General features: G+C 40.8%; 1 long non-coding RNA gene across 1 annotated transcript in view; it reads right to left on the reverse strand.

Moving 5' to 3' along the window:
* Nucleotides 1–18687, reverse strand: part of LOC105372577 (uncharacterized) — a 43176-nt gene extending 24489 nt beyond the window's left edge. The window contains exon 1 of the long non-coding RNA XR_001754558.2: nucleotides 18518–18687. This is a non-coding gene — a long non-coding RNA (uncharacterized LOC105372577). The remainder of the gene's footprint in view (nucleotides 1–18517) is intronic.
* Between the last annotated feature and the right edge of the window lie 3277 nt (nucleotides 18688–21964).

Raw genomic sequence — 21964 nt, forward strand, 5'->3', positions numbered from 1 at the left:
AAAGCTAGAGAGGAGAATAAATTGAATTAATCTCTTGTAGTTATCATAATTTAGGAGGTATAAGCATATGGAAATGTGACCAGCATGGTGGCATGGTATTTAAGACCCAAGTGTCAAGCACAAAAAGGCAGCTCATTCAGAGTTCAGAGATTGAAAGTATTAGTAGAAACTAGAGTAGTGACGAAACACATCACAAGATACATAAACCTTGAAATTGGCTCTGAAAAATAACTATGTTCCTGACCAGTACTAAGAGACACTAATATCATAATTCTGAAAAATAGTTCCCCACCTTTACCCAACATAAATGGCTTGGCAATTCTATCTAGCAGTCATTGCCCCAGGGTGTATAATGGGATAGATCACTCACCACTAACATGTAGGAACCAGGAGTAACCCTACAAATGGTGAAGTATGAGGCAGAGAATGAGGATGTGGCAGACCTACAGCTGGAAGAGCAGTCATTCTTTGATGTGTTATATTAGAGCACACTTTTCTTTATCACTACCTTTTGAAGACCTGTGGTCTTCATATACTAAAAAGAAAGAACATGTCCTTGGGCTATGCTTGTGGTAACAGGACAGATAGGTATGTGAACACATTCTGTGAAGATTTACAAGACAGGCATGCTTGAAGCACTAAGGGGAAACAGTGGGATTCACTTACGAAGAGCAGCAATGAATGCACAGGTGTCTATTTACCCCAGACTTAAAAATGAAGCAGTCTCATTCTTAGGACAGCATGAGTTCATTTAGTTTGGAAATGAAAAGAAGACAAGACATTCAGGGAAAGGATTACATTCACAGCAGGTTTTAAAAGATGACTAGTAGTTCAATGGACAGTCAAGATGATGCTGGGCGATCTGGGAAGGTATACTGCCTGGGCTGTTGGGTTATTTTTACAAATAACATGTCCCTACTCTCAGGGACCCTTGGACTCTGATTTATCATCCTACCCTTCTGTTTCAGTTCTTTCTATTCAAAGGGACTGAAAATCCCAGAATTCAAATTATGACCCCCCAAAAAAGTGTTATTACAAATGTATGAAATAATCTCACTGAAAGGTATAGAGGTGCAAGGTATTGACCTAAGTAATTTTAGAGAAGAATAGAATGTAGAAGGCAAAGGAACTGCCCATCAGCACTGTGTTCTAGTTAATAAAATTGTCTCCAATGGGGCACATGGGTAAATGGTTCTGAAACCAGTGTACAGGTAAACTTCAATGGAACAAATGAGTAAACTGATGGCAGAAGGTGGAGCTAGGTTTCTCACTGCTGGAGTGGAATGTTGTAGAAAATCAACGGCTAGAACTCATGTGATGCTGGATTAGAGTTGGAGACATCAGCATAAATTTATATTTAGCTTAATATAAAGATAGAAAAATAGATGTTAGTAAACACACATATATTTCCTTGCTCTATCTGCTGAGAGGGTCTAGAAACAATGATACCCCAGCAGCAATAAATATATCTAACACCCAGGTTTTGGGTTTTGTGGTAGGCAGATTAATTTTTTTCCTCATCTTAATCTCAACTCTCCTCATCTTAATCTCAGAAACCTGTGAATATGATAGGTTACTGGCTAAGGGAAATTAAAGTTGCTGAAGAAATTAAATTTGCTAATTAGATGACCTTAAAATGAAGAAATTATTCTAGATTATCTGGCTGGGCCCAAATTAATGACAAGGGTCCTTGTAAGTAGCAGAGAGAGGCAGAAGATGAGTCCATTTCAGAGTGACGGTATGTGAGGAAGTCTCTATCAGCCACTGGGAGCTTTGAAGGTAAAAGGGGACCACAAGTCACAGAGTACAGGCAGCCTCTAGAAAATGAAGCAGACAAGAAAAATAGATTCTCTGTTATGACATGTACCCTTGACATGATGTAATCAGAATGACACTTCAGCCCTGTTGTTTTTCTTTCCAAAACTCATAACTCCATGACTTCTCTAATGATGAGAAAAACATATAAACCCCAATAGAAAGCATGCTAAAAAAAATAGTAGTTTCAACAGAAAGCAAGAAAACTGACATTGTCATCAAAAACAAGCAAATTATAAGAAACTGTTACAGCCAGGATTTGCCTAAATGTACATGATTACAAAATGCAATATAATATCCTGGATGGGATTCTGGAGCACACACACACACAAACACACACAAACACACACATACACACACATACACCACACACACACACAAATACACACATACACACACATACACATACACCACACACACATACACCACACACACGCACACACCACACACACAAAAATACACACATACACACACATACACATACAAACACACCACACATATACACAGACACACAAACACATACACACACACCACACGTACACAAACATACACACAAAGACACACACATACACAAACACAAACACACCTCACATACACACACACCACACACACACATATATGCACACACACATACACACATAGGTAAAAACTAAGGTAATCTCAATAAAGTAAGGACTTTAACTATAATTAAATTAAGTTAATTATAATTATAATTACAATAAGGACGTTAATAATAACTTATCAATACTATTTCATTAATTGCAATAAATATATTATACTAATGTAAGTTGTTAATAATTGAGGAAACGGGGTGAGGGGTAAATGGGAACTCTGTACTATCTTTGAAACTTTCGCAAATCTGAAACTAGTCTAAAATAAAAAAATGTATTCTACTCTTTACTTGTAAGAGATCAACTTTTTTAGATTTCACATATGAGTGAGATGAGGCAGTATTTGTCTTTCTGTGCTGGGCTTATTTCACTTAACGTAATGTCTTCTAGGCTCATCCGTATCATCACGCATGATTGGATTTCACCCTTTTGAATGTCTGAATAGTATTCCATTGTGTATCTATACCACTTCTAAAATCCATCCATCTGTTGATGGACACTTACATTGAGTCTATATCTTGGCTATTATGAATAGCACTGCAATAAACATGGGGTACGATATCTCTTACACACTACTTTTATTTTTATATACATTCCAAGTAGTAGGATTGTTGGGTCATATGGTAGTTCCATTTTTAATCTTTTCAGGAACCTCCACACTGTTGTCCAGATGGCTGTACTAATTTACATTCCCACTAACAGTATATGAGCTCCCATTTCTCCACATTCTCACCAGCATTTGTTAATTTGTGTCTTTTTAATAATAGCATTCTAACTCTGGCGAGGTGAAAACTCATTGTGTTTTTTAAATGTATGCATAATAGATGTACATATTTTTGGTGTACATTTGATATTTTGGTACAATCCTATAAAGTGTAAAGATCAAATCAGGGTAACTGGGATATCCATCGCCTTACACATTTATCTTTTCTTTATGCCAGAAACATTCAAATTCTTCTCTTCTAGCTATTTTGAATTGTACAATGGATCATTGTTAACTATAGTCGCCTACTGATCTCTTGAACACTAGGTCTTATTTCTTCTACCTAACCTAATCTTTGTACCCATTAATGATCTTGAGCATTTTGTCATACACCTGTTGGCCATTTGTATGTCTTCTTTCGAGAAATGTCCATTGAGGTGTTTAAAATCAGATTATTTTAAAATCCGTTTAATATCAGAATTTTTTTTGCTGTTGTTTGAGTTCCTTATATATTCCAGATATTAACTCCAGATATTGTCAGGTGTGTAATGTCAGTTTGCAAATATTTTCTCCCCTTTGTTGTTTGCTTCCCTAGAGGCTGGGGAGAGTGATGGGGAGGGGGGGGACGCAGTGAGGCTGCTCCATGGTTACCAAGTTACAGTTAGATGAGGAGAATTCGATCTTGTATTCCATTGCACACTAGGGTGACTAGAGTTAAAAATAATGTATTGTATATTTCAAAACAGCTAGAAGAGAGAATTTTGAATGCTCTCACTACAAAAAGTGATGAGTGTTTGAGATGATAGATACACTCATTACCCTGATTTGATCATTACACAATGTATACATGTGTCAAAACATAACGCTTCACCCCATAAATATGTACAATTATTACGTGTCAATTAAAAACAAAATAAAACTTTAAGAAGTGTACTAATTCAAACGGGAGCTGAGATAGCAGGGCTACACAGAGCAGGGGCTAATGGAACTTTACAGAGATAAGGTGCCAAATCTTGCAAGGAGGAAAAAACCCAAATGTGAGAAGATTTTTGTAAGGTTAACTTAAAAGATCAGTAAATTATCATTTAAGTGAAAGCTCTGAGTAGCAGTCATGTAGCTGGTTTCTTTTTTCCCTCTAAAGCAGTTTAGAAAATGTGCTTCCAAGGGCACTCATGGGAGGGTTCTGAGTTCATTCTGTGGCCTGTTGTAAATAGTTTTAGTGCCAAGCCCCTGGTTTCAAAGGGGTGATGAGATTGTTTCTGACCAGCATTTATTCTCTTAGTTGAAAGGAAGTGGTCCCTTCTGTTCAGTTTGTGTCTTGCAGGGAAAAGGAAGGTACGTGAGAAGGATGAAATGTTTTCAGCACGCCTCCCGGGCAGCCCTGTGACCCGGCAGGTTCCAGGAGACTTGAGTCAGCTTCAGCAGGAACTGAGGCTAAAGGATGTGGTTGAATAGGATGGCCACAGGCTAGGGCTGCAGGAAGCCTCATTTCCCTGAGCTGGATAGTCTTGAGACAGTTGGATGTCACAAAACACAGAAGAGGACTAATAGGAAAAAATAGCACCTGAAGAGAAAGTTTTAATGCACAGGGGGATGCATTTAAAAAATAAAGCTACTGTTTCTGCTGGTGAACACTGAAAGAAAGTGCAAAAATAGAGTCTTACTATTTCTACACCGGTGAAGCAAAACCCCACTCCTCTCCCAGCAATGAAGAACTCTGTCCCACAATGACACTGACTCTTTTCTTCCATTCCAAGATCATGTAGTGCAGACCAGTAGCACAAAAATCTTTCATGGATGGAACCAAAATGCTGGGTGATAGACTCCTGCCCACTGAGGACAGCTTGGCCCGGCAGCCCCGCCGCCCCTCCATGGCCCTGGCAGCCCCTCAGTGAGGTCAGAGGGGAGCAGGAGTGTGAAGACAGACAGCCAATTCAGGCCCTGGCTGGTGCTTCACTCAGGCAAGGCCCCTGCCCACACTACTGACGGTCTCTCAGATGCAGATCCCTAGTCAGATAAACAACATTGATGATGTCCTTGAAGACCTTCATGAGGGTGAATTATCAGATGCTTTAGTATGAATCTTGGCCCAGAGAAGCTGCTCAAAAATGCTTCTTCACACCTCCCTGCTCCACTGTATCTGTTAGTTGAGCATTTGAGGGCTTGATCATGTGTAAATTTCGTGATGTTTTCTCAGTATATTGTCCCAAATGATACAACTTTCCCCATTTTATCTCTTTGGATTTCATTCTCCTGCTGTTTTAGAGAGTGCTATGGATAGTTGATGCCACAGAGGTATTTTTGCTAATTTATAATTGTCAACTGAGACCTAAAAGCTGGCTTTATTAACAAACAAAATCCCCAAAATATCGCAAACCTACACACCCAGAAGCATCACGAGAAGTCACATAATGAAACACTTTCCCAGTTTATGAAATTAGAGGAAGTGCTCTCAGAAAAAAACGCATTCTATTAAAATAATAATAATAATAATCACCCCAAACCTGGAGGAGTGGCTCACACCTGTAATCCCAGCACTTTGGGATGGCAAAGCCTGAAGAGTGCTTGAGGCCAGGAGTTCAAGACCTGGCCTGAGCAATACAGTGAGACCCCGTCTTTACAAGAAATATTAAAACTTAGCCAGGCATGGTGGCAGCACTTGGGAGGCTGAGGTAGGAAGATCACCTGAGCCCAGGAAGTCGAGGCTGCAGTGAGCTGTGACCACATCACTGCACTCCAGCCTGGGCCACAGTGAGACTGTCTCTTAAAATAAAAAAGAACTCCTCCAATTCCCATCTACGAACCACTTGCTAAGTGGCAGACTCCGCTGTGCTCAAGAAACATCTCGCCCATTCCTCAAACAGTGCTGTGAGCTAAGGGTCACCACTATTCCCAATTTAAAGTGAGGACATGGTGGTGGCAAGGTGGCCAGTGACATCCTCAAGGTAAGACATTCTAAACGAGTGAAGGGGATACAAAAACAGATTAGCCTGCCACAGTGACATCCAGCCCTGGCTAACCAGTGGCTCCTCCAACCCGCACCTGGGAGGCTGTAACCAGGTGGAGGCCACAGGGCCAAACATACTTCAGGTGTGCATCTTCGCTGATTAAATTGAAGGGGCTCCACTTAATTTCCAGAATACTGCAGTTGTTTGATGGACCCACTAGCCTGCTCCACCGTCTGGAGCCAGCCCCAGTTCTGCCCATTGTGCTAGTGCCACAGCAGGGGACAGGCTCCCAATCGTCCAGAGCTGGACAGCCCAGAGCCGGGGTTCAACTGAACCTTTCTTTCTCAGCCTCTGTTTCAACCCTGAATAGGGAAGAGCAACGTCTTTCTCTCTGACTCATCTAGTTATATATTCAATGTCTGCTTAAAATGGCTCCATTCTGCAGGTCCAAACATGCATGTCTGAGCTCCCCAGGAAGCAGTTCCACATGCTGCCTCCCTCATCCAAAGTGAGGTCAACTCCATCCGTCCTGTTACGCCACAAAGCTTGGAGTCATCTTGATATATTTCCTTCTCTCACACCCAACAGCTAATCCATTAGGAAAGCCTATGTGCTCCACCTTCAAAGAAAATCCACATCTCCCCGTCACCATGCTGTTCTCAGCCCCCACCCACTCTCTCCTTTATTACCCTGGTAGGCTGCTAACTAGTGCCTCTGCTTCTCTAAGCTCCCCAACACACATTCCTCATTGAATACTTACAAGCCGGAGTCACCTTCCAAAATGTAAATCAAGCCATACCATTCTTCACTCAAATCAGTCATCTGATCAACCATCCTTTATTCAGAGTGAAGGCCAAAGTCCTTGAAGCCCACAGGCGCTAGTGCATTGGGCCCCGTTCCTCTCAGAAGCTTTCTCCCCCACCCTCCCTTTTCCTCCCACATCTGAGCCATGCTGGCCTTATTGCTTGTTTTCCAACAAGCTAATCTGGCTCAGGCCATGGCCAGACCCAGCTCATTCCTGTGCTGGAGTGTTCTTGGCCCAGATATCTACATGGCCAAGTCCCTCACCTATGGAATAATAGACACAGACCTGGAGCCCATTCTCAGATTCTCTGCATTACTAGCAAGGATCCCAGCCACAGCCACAGGCCCACATAACCTCATGTCCAACTTCTTGCTCAACCACCAGTCTGCTTCTGCACTCAAATGAGAGGCACATGCTGGCTGTGGGTCTGGACTCCTGCGTCATTACCAAGGAAGACACAGGTTTTGAGTGCCAGGCCAGTAGCTATCCTTAAGGTAAACACGGGCCACTGGGAGAGGAAAGACAATGGGAGTCAGGCAGCACCCCCTCCCCTCTCTATGGCGGCTCCCAAATGCAGTTGGTCCAGAGAACATGGGATTCCTGAGGGAGCACGTTGCCATGCCATCTGCCCTTCTCTGTGGCCATTGATAAAGTGGCTCCTTTTGGTAACCCACCATTTCACATTGCTTTGCTCACGTCCTGAGCTCGTTTGCCCTGTTCTCCACCCAAGTCCTGGGCTTCCACCTCCAAGTTGTTCTCCCTTTATCCTTGCCTCAGGTTCTGCTCTCTAGAAGGCTTGGGCTCAGTCATGCCCTAGTGCCTTTGCTCATGTATCTTGAAGGCACATTCTGACCACCTGTGTGATTCTGAGATGTCCATGGGACTCCTGGTCCCCTTGGCCTGCTGCATTACTTATATTTTTGTATTGCATTCAACACCTTCTAAGCTGCTATGCCTTAACTTACACATGATATTTTTTGTTCCTCTGCTGCAGTGGAAGCTCAGCAAGTGTGAGGATCTTTTCTTCATTGATGCATCCCAGGCATCTACAATCATGCCTGGCATATGGTGGGGACTCAATAAATATTTAGGCAACAATGAATCAGGTCATTGTTAGGTTAAATGGGAAAACAGGAAAAATGCCAGGCATGTAGCAATTAGGACTGATTTCTGCACCTAGCTGCTTTCAGGAGTAGCCTCTCTCTTAGCAACTACCTCTCAGGTAAGAGTATGACAGTCAAGGTTTATAGCAGTTTGTGAAATATCAAGTGCTCTAGTTAGTACAGCTTTGTAACGACCCAAACTTGTGTCATAAAATAGCCACTGTATTATCCTTCTGTATTGTGTATCAAGGGCAGACCAGGCAAGGTGGGGTTGGCTTGTTTCTCTGTGATGTCTGGAGCCTCAGCTGAAGACTTGTTTCTGGGATGACTCAATGATTAGAGGCTGAAATTGATGGAAAACATGTTAAGACTCATGTCTGGGAATTGCTGTGGGATATTGACCAGAACCACAGCTGAGTTGTCAGCAGAAATATCTACACATGGTTTCTCCATGTGGTGTCTCCAAGTGAGCTAGCTCAAGCTTCCTCACAGCATGACTGAGTTCCAAGCGCCAGTAAACTAAAGGAACAGGTAGAAGCCCTATACTTTTTCTGACCTGGTATCAGGAGTCGCATGGCATCACATGTGATGTAGTCATCAGCCTGACAGAGTTGGGGCAGAAAACAGGCCCCATCTCTCAATGAGAGAAGGGCCAAAGGGCATATGGAACATCTCAGCCCAGAGGAGCTAAGAAATCATGACAACAATGCAGGATCTTGGATGGGCTCCTGGAACAGAAAAGGGGCATGCGATAAAAAGTAAGGAAATCTGAATGAAGTTGGGACTTTAGTTAATATCAATGCATCAGTATTAGTTAATTAACTGTGCCAAATATACCATACTAATTTCGGATGTTAATGATAAGGGAAATGGTTGTAGAGTACATGGAAACCCTCTCTACTAGCGCCACAGTTTTCCTATCAATAGTCTAAAGCTGTTTTCAAAAATAAAGCTTATTTTAAAAAGGAAAAAAAAGAGCATATGGGTCAGCATATATTATTGAAACCCTTTTAGAAAAATATAATCTGCCACAACAAAGAAGAGGTGCTGATACCAACCTTGAAGGGAAAAGCAAGAGCACACAGGTTTAGTATGAAATGGCTATAAAGTCTCTAGATAAAAGCCATGTTTATTATCCAGAGGTATGAAGAAAGGAAGCAACGTCACTCAATAAAAAGAACAAATGGCCCAACAATGCTTTTAGCGTTTGACTTTAAATGCATCATGGTCATATTTTGCAGCCAGCTCATCACTACGTGTGCTATCTACATACAGATGCTCCCTCAAGGTCAACTGGACAGAGTTTCCATCTAATTATTTAATCACAGATTGCACAAGCATCCAGTGATTCTATAAAAGCCAATCATATTAAACTTCAAATGGGATGAATATGCAGTGACTTTTTATCCAAACTACATATATTTCTGAGAATGTATTTTCATCTTAAAATTAAGCTTAATATTTTTAAAACATCATTGAATTAAAACAGTTCTAGTGCATTAAAAGGTATGTAAGAAGCAGTGTGGTAAATACGGCCACTAATTTCTTTCTCTTCCCAATGAGAGGTGGGGTCTAATCCCCTTCCCCTGGTTATGGCCTTGGTGGCTCACTTGATCAGTAGAAAACAGCAGGAGTGACTTCCTGAGTTTTCCAAGGGCTACAGTATAAGATGTGAAGCTTCTGCTCTTAGAACCTGTGAGAAGCCCGAGCCACCAGGAAGGGTGCTGGGCAGTGAATGTGTGAACAGCCCCTGCTGCATTCCCAGCTGACAGCCAGCATTCCCAACCTGCCAGCTGCCTTAGATGTCCAGCCCAGGTGAGGTGACTGCGGCCCTGGCACCATCTGACTGTTACCAAATGAGAGATCCCATGCAACAATCACCCAGCCGAACCCAGGCAACTCACAGATTTCTGAAATTTAACACATTTTTTAAGCCATTAAGTGTTGGAATGATTATGCAGCAATAGGTAACCTGTACAAAGATTTATAGATATTTAATAGGTAAAGTTTTAAAATATTCAAGAAGTTTAAAATTGACTAAATGATGTATAAAAATTGTGGGAAATTGTAAAAGAAATTCTAGGGGAAACTATTTGAGTGAGAAGAAAAGCATCCAGGTATTGGTTGAACAAATCAAATAGAAGGATAAGATGCAAACCGTCAGTAAGTTGTCATCAATGTGGAAAAGCACAACAAAATATATGTGTCTTAATTGAGTACATTGCAAGGAATTTGAATACAGGATTTTTGTTTTGTTGTTTATTTTTGAGATGGAGTCTCACTCTGTCACCCAGGATGGAGTGCAGTGGCGCCATCTTGTCTCACTGCAAACTTCGCCTCCAAGATTCAAGAGATTCTCCTGCCTCAGCCTCCCTAGTAGCTGGGATTACAGGCATGTGCCACCACACCCGGCTAATTTTTGAATTTTTAGTAGAGACGGGACTTCACCATGTTGGCCAGGATTATCTCGAACTCCTGACCTCATGTGATCCACCCAACTCGGTCTCCCAAAGTGCTAGGTTCTTTTTATATTTCTTCTTTTATATTATTTATTCAATAATCTGTTTGTTAGTTATTTTGGGTAATGTCAACCCTGTGAACCTATTACTCAATATAAAAACTAGAATCTTAATAATTTCTTGTATTAGCTCTATGGTCCATCGTATTCCATTTCCTTGACTCTCATATTCAAAATAAAATGGTCTTCATATGCATCTTATCTTTCCTTCTTTCCTCTTCTTCTTTATTATTATTTTTTTTTCTAAGACAGGGTCTCTGTCTGTCTCCCAGGATGAAGTGCAGTGGTGTGATCATGGCTCACTGCAGCCTCAACCTCTCAGGCTCAATCGATCCTCCCACCTCAGCCTCCCAAATAGCTGAGACTGCAGGCATGCGTCCCCATGCCCAGCTAATTTTTTTTTTTATTTTTTTTTTGTAGAGATAGGGTTTCACCATGTTGCCCAGGCTGGTTTCTAACTCCTAGGCTCAAACAATCTGCCCACCTCGGCCTCGCAAAGTGCTGGGATTACAGGAGTGAGCCACTGTGCCCAGCCCTCTTCTTTCTTGACAGAATCTGCTTACCCTTTTTGAAAGCTGCATTTAGTTTCAGACAAATTCATGTTGCTTCCTAGTTACCTGATCACTGAGCTCATTAGCAGGCATACGCACAAAGATTGAGAAGGACACTAAATTTAAAAATAAAGGTATATTAAATTCAACACTCCCTCATGTTAAAAACTCTCAATAAACTAAGTATTGAAGGAACATGCCTCAAAATAATAAGAGCTACCTATGACAAACCCACAGTCAGCATTATACTGAATGGGCAAAAACTGGAAGCATTCCTCTTGAAAACTGACAGAAGAAAAGGATGCCCTCTCTTACCACTCCTATTCATTACAGTATTGAAAGTCCTGACCAGGGCAATCAGGCAAGAGAAAGAAATAAAGGCATTCAAATAGAAAGAGAGGAAGTCGAACTATCTGTTGGCAAACAATAAGATTCTACATCAAGAAAACCCCATAGTCTCAGTCCAAAAGCTCCTTAAGCTGATAAACAACTTCAGCAAAGTCTCAGGATACAAAATCAATGTGCAAAAATTACTAACATTCCTATATACCAACAACAGCCAAACCAACCCAAATCAAGAATGCAATTCCATCTACAATTGCCACAAAAATAAAATAAAATACCTAGGACTACAGCTAACCAGGGAGGCCAAAGATCTCTACCAGAAGAACTACAAAACACTGCTTAAAGAAATCAGAGATAACACAAACAAATAGAAAAACATTCCATGCTCGTGGATGGGGTGAATCAATACCATTAAAATGGCCATACTGCCCAAAGCAAATTATGGATTCAATGTTATTCTTATCAAACTACCAATGACATTTTTCACAGAACTAAAAAAAACACACTTTCAAAATTCATGTGGAACAAACAAACAAACAAAAAAGCCCAAATAGCTAAGGCAATCCTAAGCAAAAAGAACAAAGCTGGAATCATGCTACCTGACTTTAAACTATACTACAGGGCTGCAGTAACCAAATCAGCAATGGTACTAGTTTAAAAACAGACAAATAGACAAATGGAACAGAATACAGAAACCAGCAATAAGGCCACACACCTATGACTATTTGATCTTCAACAAACCTGACAAAAACAAGCAATGGGGAACTTCCTATTCAAAAACAAGCAATGGGGACTTCCTATTTAATAAATGGTGCTGGGATAATTAGCTAGCCATATGTGAAAGGTTGAAACTGGAGTACTTTCTTACATCATATACAAAAATTAACTTAAGCTGGATTAGAGGCTTAAATGTAAAACCCAAAACTATAAAAACCCTAGAAGACAACCTTGACAGTACTATTCTGGACATAGGAATCAGCAAAGATTTCATGATGAAGACACTAAAAGCAAGTGCAACAAAAGCAAAAATTGACTAATGGGACCTAATTAAACTAAAGAGCTTCTGCACAGCAAAGGAAACTATCAACAGAGCAAACAGACAACCTACAGGATGGGAGAAAATTTTTGCAAACTATGCATCTAACAAGGGTCTAATATCCAGCATCTATAACTTAAACAAATTTACAAGAAAAAAAAACAAACAACCCCATTAAAAAGTGGGCAAACTACAAGAAAAAACACTTTGCAAAAGAAGGCATACATGTGGCCAATAATCATATGAAAAAAAGCTCAACATCACTGGTCATTAGAGAAATGCAAATCAAAACCATAATGAGACACCATCTCATACACGTCAGAGTGGCTATTATTAAAAAGTAAAAAAAAAAATACATATTGGCAAGGTTGCAGAGAAAAAGGAACACTTAAACACTGTCGGTGGGAGTGTAATTAGTTCAACAATTGTGGAAGACAGTGTGGTAGCTCCTCAAGGGCCTAAAAACAGAAATACCATTTGACTGGCAATCCTATTACTGGGTATATACCCAAAGGAATATGCATTTTTCTATTAGAAAGACACAGGCACCCATATTTTCACTGCAGCACTATTCACAATAGCAAAGACATGGAATCAACCTAAATGCCCATCAATGGTAGACTGGATAAAGAAAATGTGGTACATGCACACCATGGAATACTATGCAGCTATAAGAAAGAATGAGATTATGTCCTTTGCAGGAACATGGATGAAGCTAGAGACCATTATCCTTAACAAACTAATGCAGGAACAGAAAATCAAGTATCACATGTTCTTATTATAAGTGTGAGCTAAATGATGAGAATACGTGGACACATACAGCAGAACAAGACACACTGGTGCCTACTGGCGGGTGGAGGGTGGATGAGGGAGAGGATCAGGAAAAATCACTAATAGGTACTGGCTTAATACCTGGGTGATGAAATAATCTGTACAACAACCCCCCATGACACAAGTTTACCTATAACAAACCTCACATATGCTGTACATAAAATACAAGTTAAAAGTTAAATTTTGTAAAAGGTAATATTAATATTTACTATTAATTATTAAGATTTATTAGTATGGTTCTGTTACATTGCGCGAAACCAATATCTGATTTGGCCTTTCCAGCATTCTTTGTAAATAGACTACATAAGAAGCAACGGGCAGCCCATAGAAACATCCTTAGGCCTGACTTTAAAATTAAGATCTAGAGCCATTTATTTATTATAGCACATACGGTATGTTAGCATTTATATTCATTGTGGTAATAAGCATGATATACACAGTTCATGTCTCCAAGATACTCACGATAGGGAAAAAGACATGAAAACAAATAAATATAAATGATAAAATAAGTCAAGGGTACAAATAGAACATCAAATTAATTGTGTCTGGAAGCTAGGGTATAAAACTCTTCCCCAGGCTGTTGACACGTGGTTGAGATTCTGAAGGAAGAACAAGGATTTGTCAGAGACAAGAGGTGGGGAGAGGGTGGTGGGCAGAATGATTCAGAAATATGGAGCAGAAGTGCGAAGTCATGGAGACCTGCAGCATCTTCAGATCTGGAAGAGCCACTGGGAACACTCAACAAACTGAGAAGTGACGAGGGAAAGGGTCCTGGAGATTCTCTGAATTGTTTCTTATAAGTTGCCACCATCCAACACAGCAGACACGAGCCTCACATGATCACTGAGTTCGTGTAACCTGGAGCGTCCACAGTCAGAGGTGCTGTTGGTGTAAAGTGCACCTTGGATTTTGAAGACTTAATATGAAAGAAGTTTGTATAACAGCTCATAAACCTTTTTATATTGATGATATCAAAATAACAAGGTTTTGGATATTCTACACTTAAATAAAACTTGGTATTAAAATTAATTTCAGAGACAGGCACGGTGGCTCACTTCTGTAATACCAGCCCTTTGGGAGGCCAAAGCAGGCAGATCTCTTGAGTCCAGGAGTTCGAGACCAGACATGGGCAACATGGCAAAACCCCATCTCTACAAAAAATACAAAAATTAGCCAGACCTGGTGGTGAGTGCCTGTAGTCCCAGCTACTTGGGAGGCTGAGCCCAGGAGGCGGGGGTTGCAGTGAGCCCAGATGGCACTACTGTACTCCAGTCTGGGTAACAAAGTGAGACCTTGTGTCAAAAAAAATAATAATAAAAATTCAAGAAATTTAAAATGAAATTAATTTCACTTTTTGAAACTTCGTTTAATGTAATTACTACAAAACTTAAAGTAACTTAAAGTAACATGTGCAGCTTGTGTTCTATTTCTATTGGACAGTACTAATCTATTGGCCTCACCGTGGTATCCTTTACTTCCCCCTTTAATATCAATCTGAAAAACCTGCAGTGGACTTTATAGTTTTTAAAAGCTATCATGTCATTAATCTGCATAAACCACTAAGGAAAGCCAGAGAGTATAAATCAAGTGTGATGTAGCTTATAATTTGCCTTCAAGAACCAAGAAGGATGTCTTATTTTCTAAAATCTTCATGTATCATGCTTGAAGAAAAAATGAAATTATAATTTCTTGTTTCCAAATATTTATTAGCAATGTTCTAAATACATAATCCAGACAGTTAACTGTTTGGGGGAGACTGAATGCCACCTGGTCTCTGGTCTCGACAGCTCAATTACCCTAGTAGTTATCATACATGCATGATGAATAATGTGCAGGTTACACTGCTCGAATGCAGGTTGTGTTTAGCCTGCAGTATCTCTTGCATAGATTTCCACATGAAGCACTTAGGATCAGACACAGAGGGTTATTCTTTTTTTTATTCTTTTTTTTTTTTCTTTTTTATTTTGAGGCAGAGTCTCACTCTGTCACGGAGGCTAAATTGCAGTGGCACGATCTTGGCTCACTGAAACCTCTGTCTCCTGGGTTCAGCAAGATTCTCCTGCCTCAGCGTCCCGAGTAGCTGGAATTACAGGTGCCCACCACCACAGCTGGCTAATTTTTGTATTTTTAGTAGAGACAGTGTGTCTTCATGTTGGCCAGGCTGGTCTCTAACTTCTGACCTCAAATGATTAGCCTGCCTCAGCCTCCCAAAGTGCTGGGATTCAGGTGTGAGCCACCGCGGCTGGCCCACAGAGGGTTATTCTATGGAACATGATGTTTTATTGCTACTAAGACACTCAGGTGCCCACCAATCACATTTCCTCATAGAACAGTTGTGGGAACTTGTCTGCAAGGCTGCACTCCCAATGCCACAGCAGGGACAGGAGACTTGTTGCCCAGAGCACCACTCTGTTCCATAGAGACCACTCATGTGCAAAGACTACAGTTCCTGGGGCCTTTCCATCTCTTAGTGCCAGTAATCACCAAAACTAAGCTCTAAACATCACTTAAATCAAACGACAGGAGAGTAGGAGCTCTAAAAGCCCTCTGATTTTCATAAACTCCTCTTGTGCACTGTCTTTCTGTCTTCCTGAATAAAATTAATATTTCCAATATGTCCATGCTATCCATGCTGATAAAAACGTAGTGAGTGGATTCTCATCACTATGAGTTGAGGTTGCAGTATATAGACAGAAATGGAAATAATGATCTTGATCATAATAAAGAATAATTGGCCAGGCGCAGTGGCTCATGCCTGTAATCCCAACACTTTGGGAGGCCGAGGCGGGCGGATCACGAGGTCAGGAGATCGAGACCATCCTGGCTAACACGGTGAAACCCCGTCTCTACTAAAAATGCAAAAAATTAGCCGGGCGTGGTGGCGGGCGCCTGTAGTTCCAGCTACTCGGGAGGCTGAGGCAGGAGAATGGCGTGAACCTGGGAGGCGGAGCTTGCAGTGAGCCAAGATAGTGCCACTGCACTCCGGCCTGGGTGAAAGAGCAAGACTCTGTCTCAAAAATAAAAAATAAAAAAAAAGAATTGGGCCAGGTGCTATGGCTCACGCTTGTAGCCTGTAATCCCAGCACTTTGGGAGGCCAAGGCGGGTGGATCACCTGAGGTCAGGAGTTCGAGACCAGCCTGGCCAACATGGTAAAACCCAATCTCTACTAAAAACACACAAAAAAATTTAGCTGGGCGTGGTGGTGGGTGCCTGTAATCCCAGCCACTCAGGAGGCTGAGGCAGAAGAATCACCTAAACCTGGGAGGTAGAGGTTGCAGTGAGCCGAGATCATGCCACTTCACTCCAGCTTGGGTGAAAGAGTGAAACTCTGTCTCAAAAATAAATAAATAAATAAATAAATAATTTAGGGAGGTCTCATGCCATGCTGGGCATTTATCCCTATTAGCTCATTTAATCCTGAAAACATAGTTGCTGTTATGTCCCACTTTTTAATGATGATCAGGCAAAGACAAAGAAGGGTTGAAGAGCTTGCCCATAGGCCCACAGTTAAAAAAATCATGATGTCAATCACAAAAGTGAGTTGTCTCCCTTCAGAGTAAGCATGGCCAGTCTTTATAGAATGCTATCTGCAAATAATTAGGCCCTTAGCCTAGGTTTGGCATAAAGAGAAGGAAATTAATGGCAGTAAGCAGAAAATCCAAAAGTCAGTGTCAATGAGAACAAAGGTGAGTGACCATCAGAAGCCCTGTACTCAACTGAGAAGTCAGCTTTTACCGACAATCCTTCTGACAGAAATAACAAAGGGGAATCTCAAGCAGTGGTGAAATTTATCCTTAGTGTCCAAAGAAGAACCTAGCAAAGAGAGAAAAAAGAAACTCAACTATAGAAACTAGACTAAAGGGGTTGTACGTCATCTTGTTTCCAATGGAAACTAATGATTATCTTCTGGATGCTAGAAGAGCAACTCACATCTTTAAAAAAGATAAAAAAGGAACAGAGTCAGAAGGACTCCAAGTGGAAACGCAAGAATTTTCTCATCTTCTGACTTGAACTTCAGGGATCTCCCACCTGGAGGGAAGATAGAGTCTTTTATCCTGCTCCTGCTTATCTATTACATGAGGCCACCAGCATCAGCCCATACTCTCATCGGTTCCCATGAACACAGTGTCTCTGCATGCTAGACAGGATGATCCGGTAAGAAGGGATCATGCATAATTTCGAGAATGAAGTCTGAGAAGACAAGGGGATAGGAGGTGACTACAAAAATGATTGCTGCTTCCTCCTGCACATACGGGGCTTGCACAGGGACAGGCACATGAGTGTATCTCACAGGTAAGCTGTGCTGTGGTTTGAATATTTGTCACCCCAAACTCATGCTGAAGTTTAATGGCCACTGTAACAGTATTAAGAGATGGGAACTTTGAGAGGTGATTAGACCAGATGGACCCTGTCACCACAAATGGATTAATGTCTTTATTGTGGAAAATGGGCTCATTATCATGGTAGTGGGTTTCTTATAAAAGGACAAGTTTGCCCACCCCCCACCCTGCCTTCCCTTTGCCTTTACACCATGTGATGCCTTTTGCCAGGCTATGACATAGCAAGAAGGCCCTTGCCTTCTGACTCCTCAGTCTTAGACTTCTCCACCTCTAAAACTGTAAGAAATAAATTTCTCTTCTTTATAAACTATTTGTTCTCAGGCATTCTTTTACAACAGCACAAAACAAAGATAGAAAATTGGTACCAGGGAAGTGGGGTGTTGCTACAACAAATCCCTTCCCTTGTGTACATTGTAAACATCCATCAAAACGCCACAGTGTCTTCTATACATGTTATTCCTTATGATTTGTCAATTAAACATAATATTAGTTTTTAAAAACAAAATTAATGAGAATGTGCCTACGGTTTCCACAGTCTCCCCTATACAGTTTCTCCTGCCCAGATCCTATTACCCACACCCACCACACATCCTACCAAATGTAAGAGAAACAACGGTGTTTTATTGAGCAATAACAAACCCCAGTTAATCTAGAGTCTGGACTAAGAAAAGTCTGAGTAATCTGAAATTCTGGTCAAAGAACAGACATACTTTTGGGATGAGACCAATTTGAAGACGAGGGCCAAGCAATTTAGATGAGCCAAGATAATCTTTAAACCAAAGACACAGAGAGATCTTTTCAGAACTGCTGTTCCAGGAAGCCAACCCCAAGGCCTCTGTCAGTCAGAACATCTTGGCCTCCCCAGTCACTGAGTGATTTCCAGCCCCGGCCCAGCAGAAGCATCACTCACATCTGAGCTGGCAAGGACAGGAGGTGAAGCCCAGCCGATTTCTCAGGTGGTGCAGGAAGGCGCGGCCCAGTCAATCACGTTCATGCCAGAATAACTGATTAAGGTAGCAGCCCTTGAAACAGCCTTGCCTGTAGGACGTGACCTCCCAGACCCTGTCTGGTGCCCGCCATACTGATGCGGGGATTACTCCAAGGAAGCGGCTCCCTCTGGCTTCCTTATTCCTCCCTCCTCCTTATTCAGCCTCTCAGGTTTTCCGCAGTCAGAACAAAATGCACAGAAGGGATTGTTCACTCATAGTGAAAATTTATTCAGGATAGGTCATTTGTTTTAGTGAAAATAGAATGTTCTTGAAAATGTTGCCATTACTGGAAATTATATTCCTGTTCTGCAAGATAAGAAACAAAGCTGGCCTCCAGCTTTCTCATAAATGAAAAGTAAAAATCAAAACAAAACGAAACAAAAGGCACAGAGAACAACCACAACAGCGAAATGCTTCCAGCCCTGCGGAAGGAGGAAATATTCTGCATACACCATTCTCCATCTATTCAATGTTTCTGGATTTCTGTTTTTGTTTAGTAGAGTCAGTGGTTTAGGTGTTCAGCGGGCTAGCTCAGCTGCCTTTGGGAGGAAAGAGTTCTTGATATGGGAGACCACAGAGAAGTCGAGGGCTTGTTGTGTATCTCCCAGCTGAAGATCACACACCCCTTCATGGGATCCTTTAACTGTGGTTGATGGCTGTCTCAAGAACAAGAAACAGAAAAGTCTCCCCCACCATGGGATTATTCCAGAGGTTTCCACACTTGTCTGCAAACCCCTCAAGACTATGAATTAATTTATCTTAGGTTTAACTTGGTCTTCAGAATTATTTCAAATCTTCAGGTCATGTTAATATGCTAAGTTTGGGAATGACTGGATTCTAGGTTTATTAAGCAAACATAAGTCTTGCATTTCATGCTACTAAATGATGGACATTGAATAAAGGAAACAAATAAAAAACAAAACGACGACAACAAAACAAACCAGGTCCTTGGAGAGCTTGCGCATGACTGAAAGGGATAAAGGATTTGTGCAAATGCTGAAGCCTGCGGTGGTGGCTGGGTCTTTGGAATATGTTCTGGGTTTAACTTCACTCAGTGACTGTCCGATGGTGATGGTCCCACTCACCCAGAGGGAGCACCCAGTCCTTCACCCTTTCCTGCAGCTCCCATACAAGGTCCCTGGATGCAGGCAGGACTTTCCTGGACATAGCACCCGCCTAACCCATCCCCTGGAGCCTTACGCCCCCAACTGTGCCATTTTTGTATCAAATGCTGGTCTTTGTTTGAGAGGAACACTTAACATATTAGGGAAATGAGCTGTTTCAGTGATGTTGGTGGCATATCCTAATCTCCCCCAACTTATTGATTGTCTTTTGATTTCACTGTATGGTTGATACAATGCCAAAATTTTTATTTTATGTAGCTAAATTTATTAATCACCTTTTTCCTTCTTCTTGGCTTTTCTTCATAGTCAGAAAAGCTTCCCATATTCCATATGTACAATTCATATAATTTTTATGCAATATAAAATATTATATGCAATATAAAATATATATATGCCACTGATTTTTGTATATTAATTTTATTTCCAAATACCTGAATTCTGAAGTCCCTTATCATTACCAAAATTTTTTGGTCGGCTATCTTAGTTTTTGATGACAAATGATAAATATTATCTAATATGGCAGCTATTTTATATCTTTCATCCCACAATTGTATATCTTTAATTTTTTAATTTATTTTTCTAAGTTTTGGTGGGTAGTGCAATGTCAGTAATAACAAATAATATTGGAGATAAATAGGGGCTTCAGCTTTGTATTTTCTCAGACGTTAGTGAGAATGCTTCTAGTGTGTCCCTATAAAGCACAGTGTTTGTTTTGGTACAAACATACGCATGATGGCCACAGAGAAGTGTCAGTGCATTCTTTTTAAGAGTATTATTTAACACACACACACACACACACACACACACACACAAGCATGGAAATTGAATTTTATCATGTGCCTCATCAACATCTTTGGAAATAATAAAATGGTTTTTTTTCTGATATAGAACCTCTTTGTATTCCTGAAACAAACCCTTGTATAATGCTTTCTCTTTTCTTTTCTTTGTTTTTGAGATAGTCTTGCTCTGTTGCCTATGCTGCAGAGCAGCACGAACATGGCTCACTGCAGCCTTGACCTCCCAGGCTCCTCCCACCTCAGCCTTCTGAGTAGCTGAGACCACAGGTGTGTGCCCCCACCCCTGGCTATTTAAAAAAAAAAAAAAAGAAAAAAGAAAAAGAAAAAATCTGGAGAGATGAGGTCTCACCATGTTGCCCAGGCTGGTCGCAAACTCCTGGCCTCAAGCTATCCTCCCACCTCAGCCTGCAAAGTGCTGAGATTACAAGTGGGAGCCACTGTGCCTAGCCCCGCCCCCCCGCTGTACAATTCTATTAAAAAGCTTTAATTATTCGGTTTACTGTTAATTATCTTAGGATTTTTGAATGAGCATTTACTTGTAAAATTGGACTGTAATTTAGAATTTCTTATGCAATCATTGTCACATTTTAGTGTAAATAACATGCTTTTTTCTTCAAAATATTATGAAAAAAGCAATTATTTTTCTTTGGTCTGAAATATTTTCGTATCTTAGGAATTATCAACTCTTCAAATAACAGGATTCTTCACTATTTGCTGAAGGTTGAGTAGTCTTTTAATAAATCTCTTAATTTCTTCTATAATCACATTTGTTTTTTATCTCTTCTAGATTTTGTCTTCCTCGAGTCAGTTTTGACAAATTATATTTTGTTACAAAATTAGCATTTCCTCCTAGCTTTCAAATGTATTTGACAAAGTTAAGTTATGAGGTGTTTTCTAATTTTTAATTATCTGATTTTTTTCTCATAATTTCTCATTTTGTATGTTTGTGACTTCTTTCCTATACTAAAAGCTGTGAATTTTTCTCTGAATCCTTCATTAGCTATCTCCCAAATGTTTTGATATGTGAAATTGTTATTGTTATTTTTGTTGTTGTTTACAGTTATTATGACTTTTTTTTGAGACAGGGTTTCACTCTGTTGCACAGAGTGTAGTGGCAGGTGGAATCACAGCTCTCTGCAGCCTCAACTTCCCCAGGTCCAGGTAATCCTCCCACCTCATCCTCCCAAGTAGCCAGACTACAGGCATGTGCCAGCAGGCCTGGCTAATTTTTCGTATTTTTTATGGAGATGGGGCTTCACCATGTTGGCCAGGTTGGTCTTGAATGCCTGCTCTCAGGCTATCCGCCCACCTCAGCCTCCTAAAGTGCTGGAATTACAGGCTTGAGATACCACGCCTGGCTCTGTTCTGACATTTTTATTTGATTTTATTTTTTCAGCCAATAATTGCTTGAGAGCACCTTAAAGTCCAAGTGTTAAGGACTTTTTGT

Source organism: Homo sapiens, chromosome 20 (assembly GCF_000001405.40).
Source record: "Homo sapiens chromosome 20, GRCh38.p14 Primary Assembly".
NCBI classification, from domain to species: domain Eukaryota; kingdom Metazoa; phylum Chordata; class Mammalia; order Primates; family Hominidae; genus Homo; species Homo sapiens.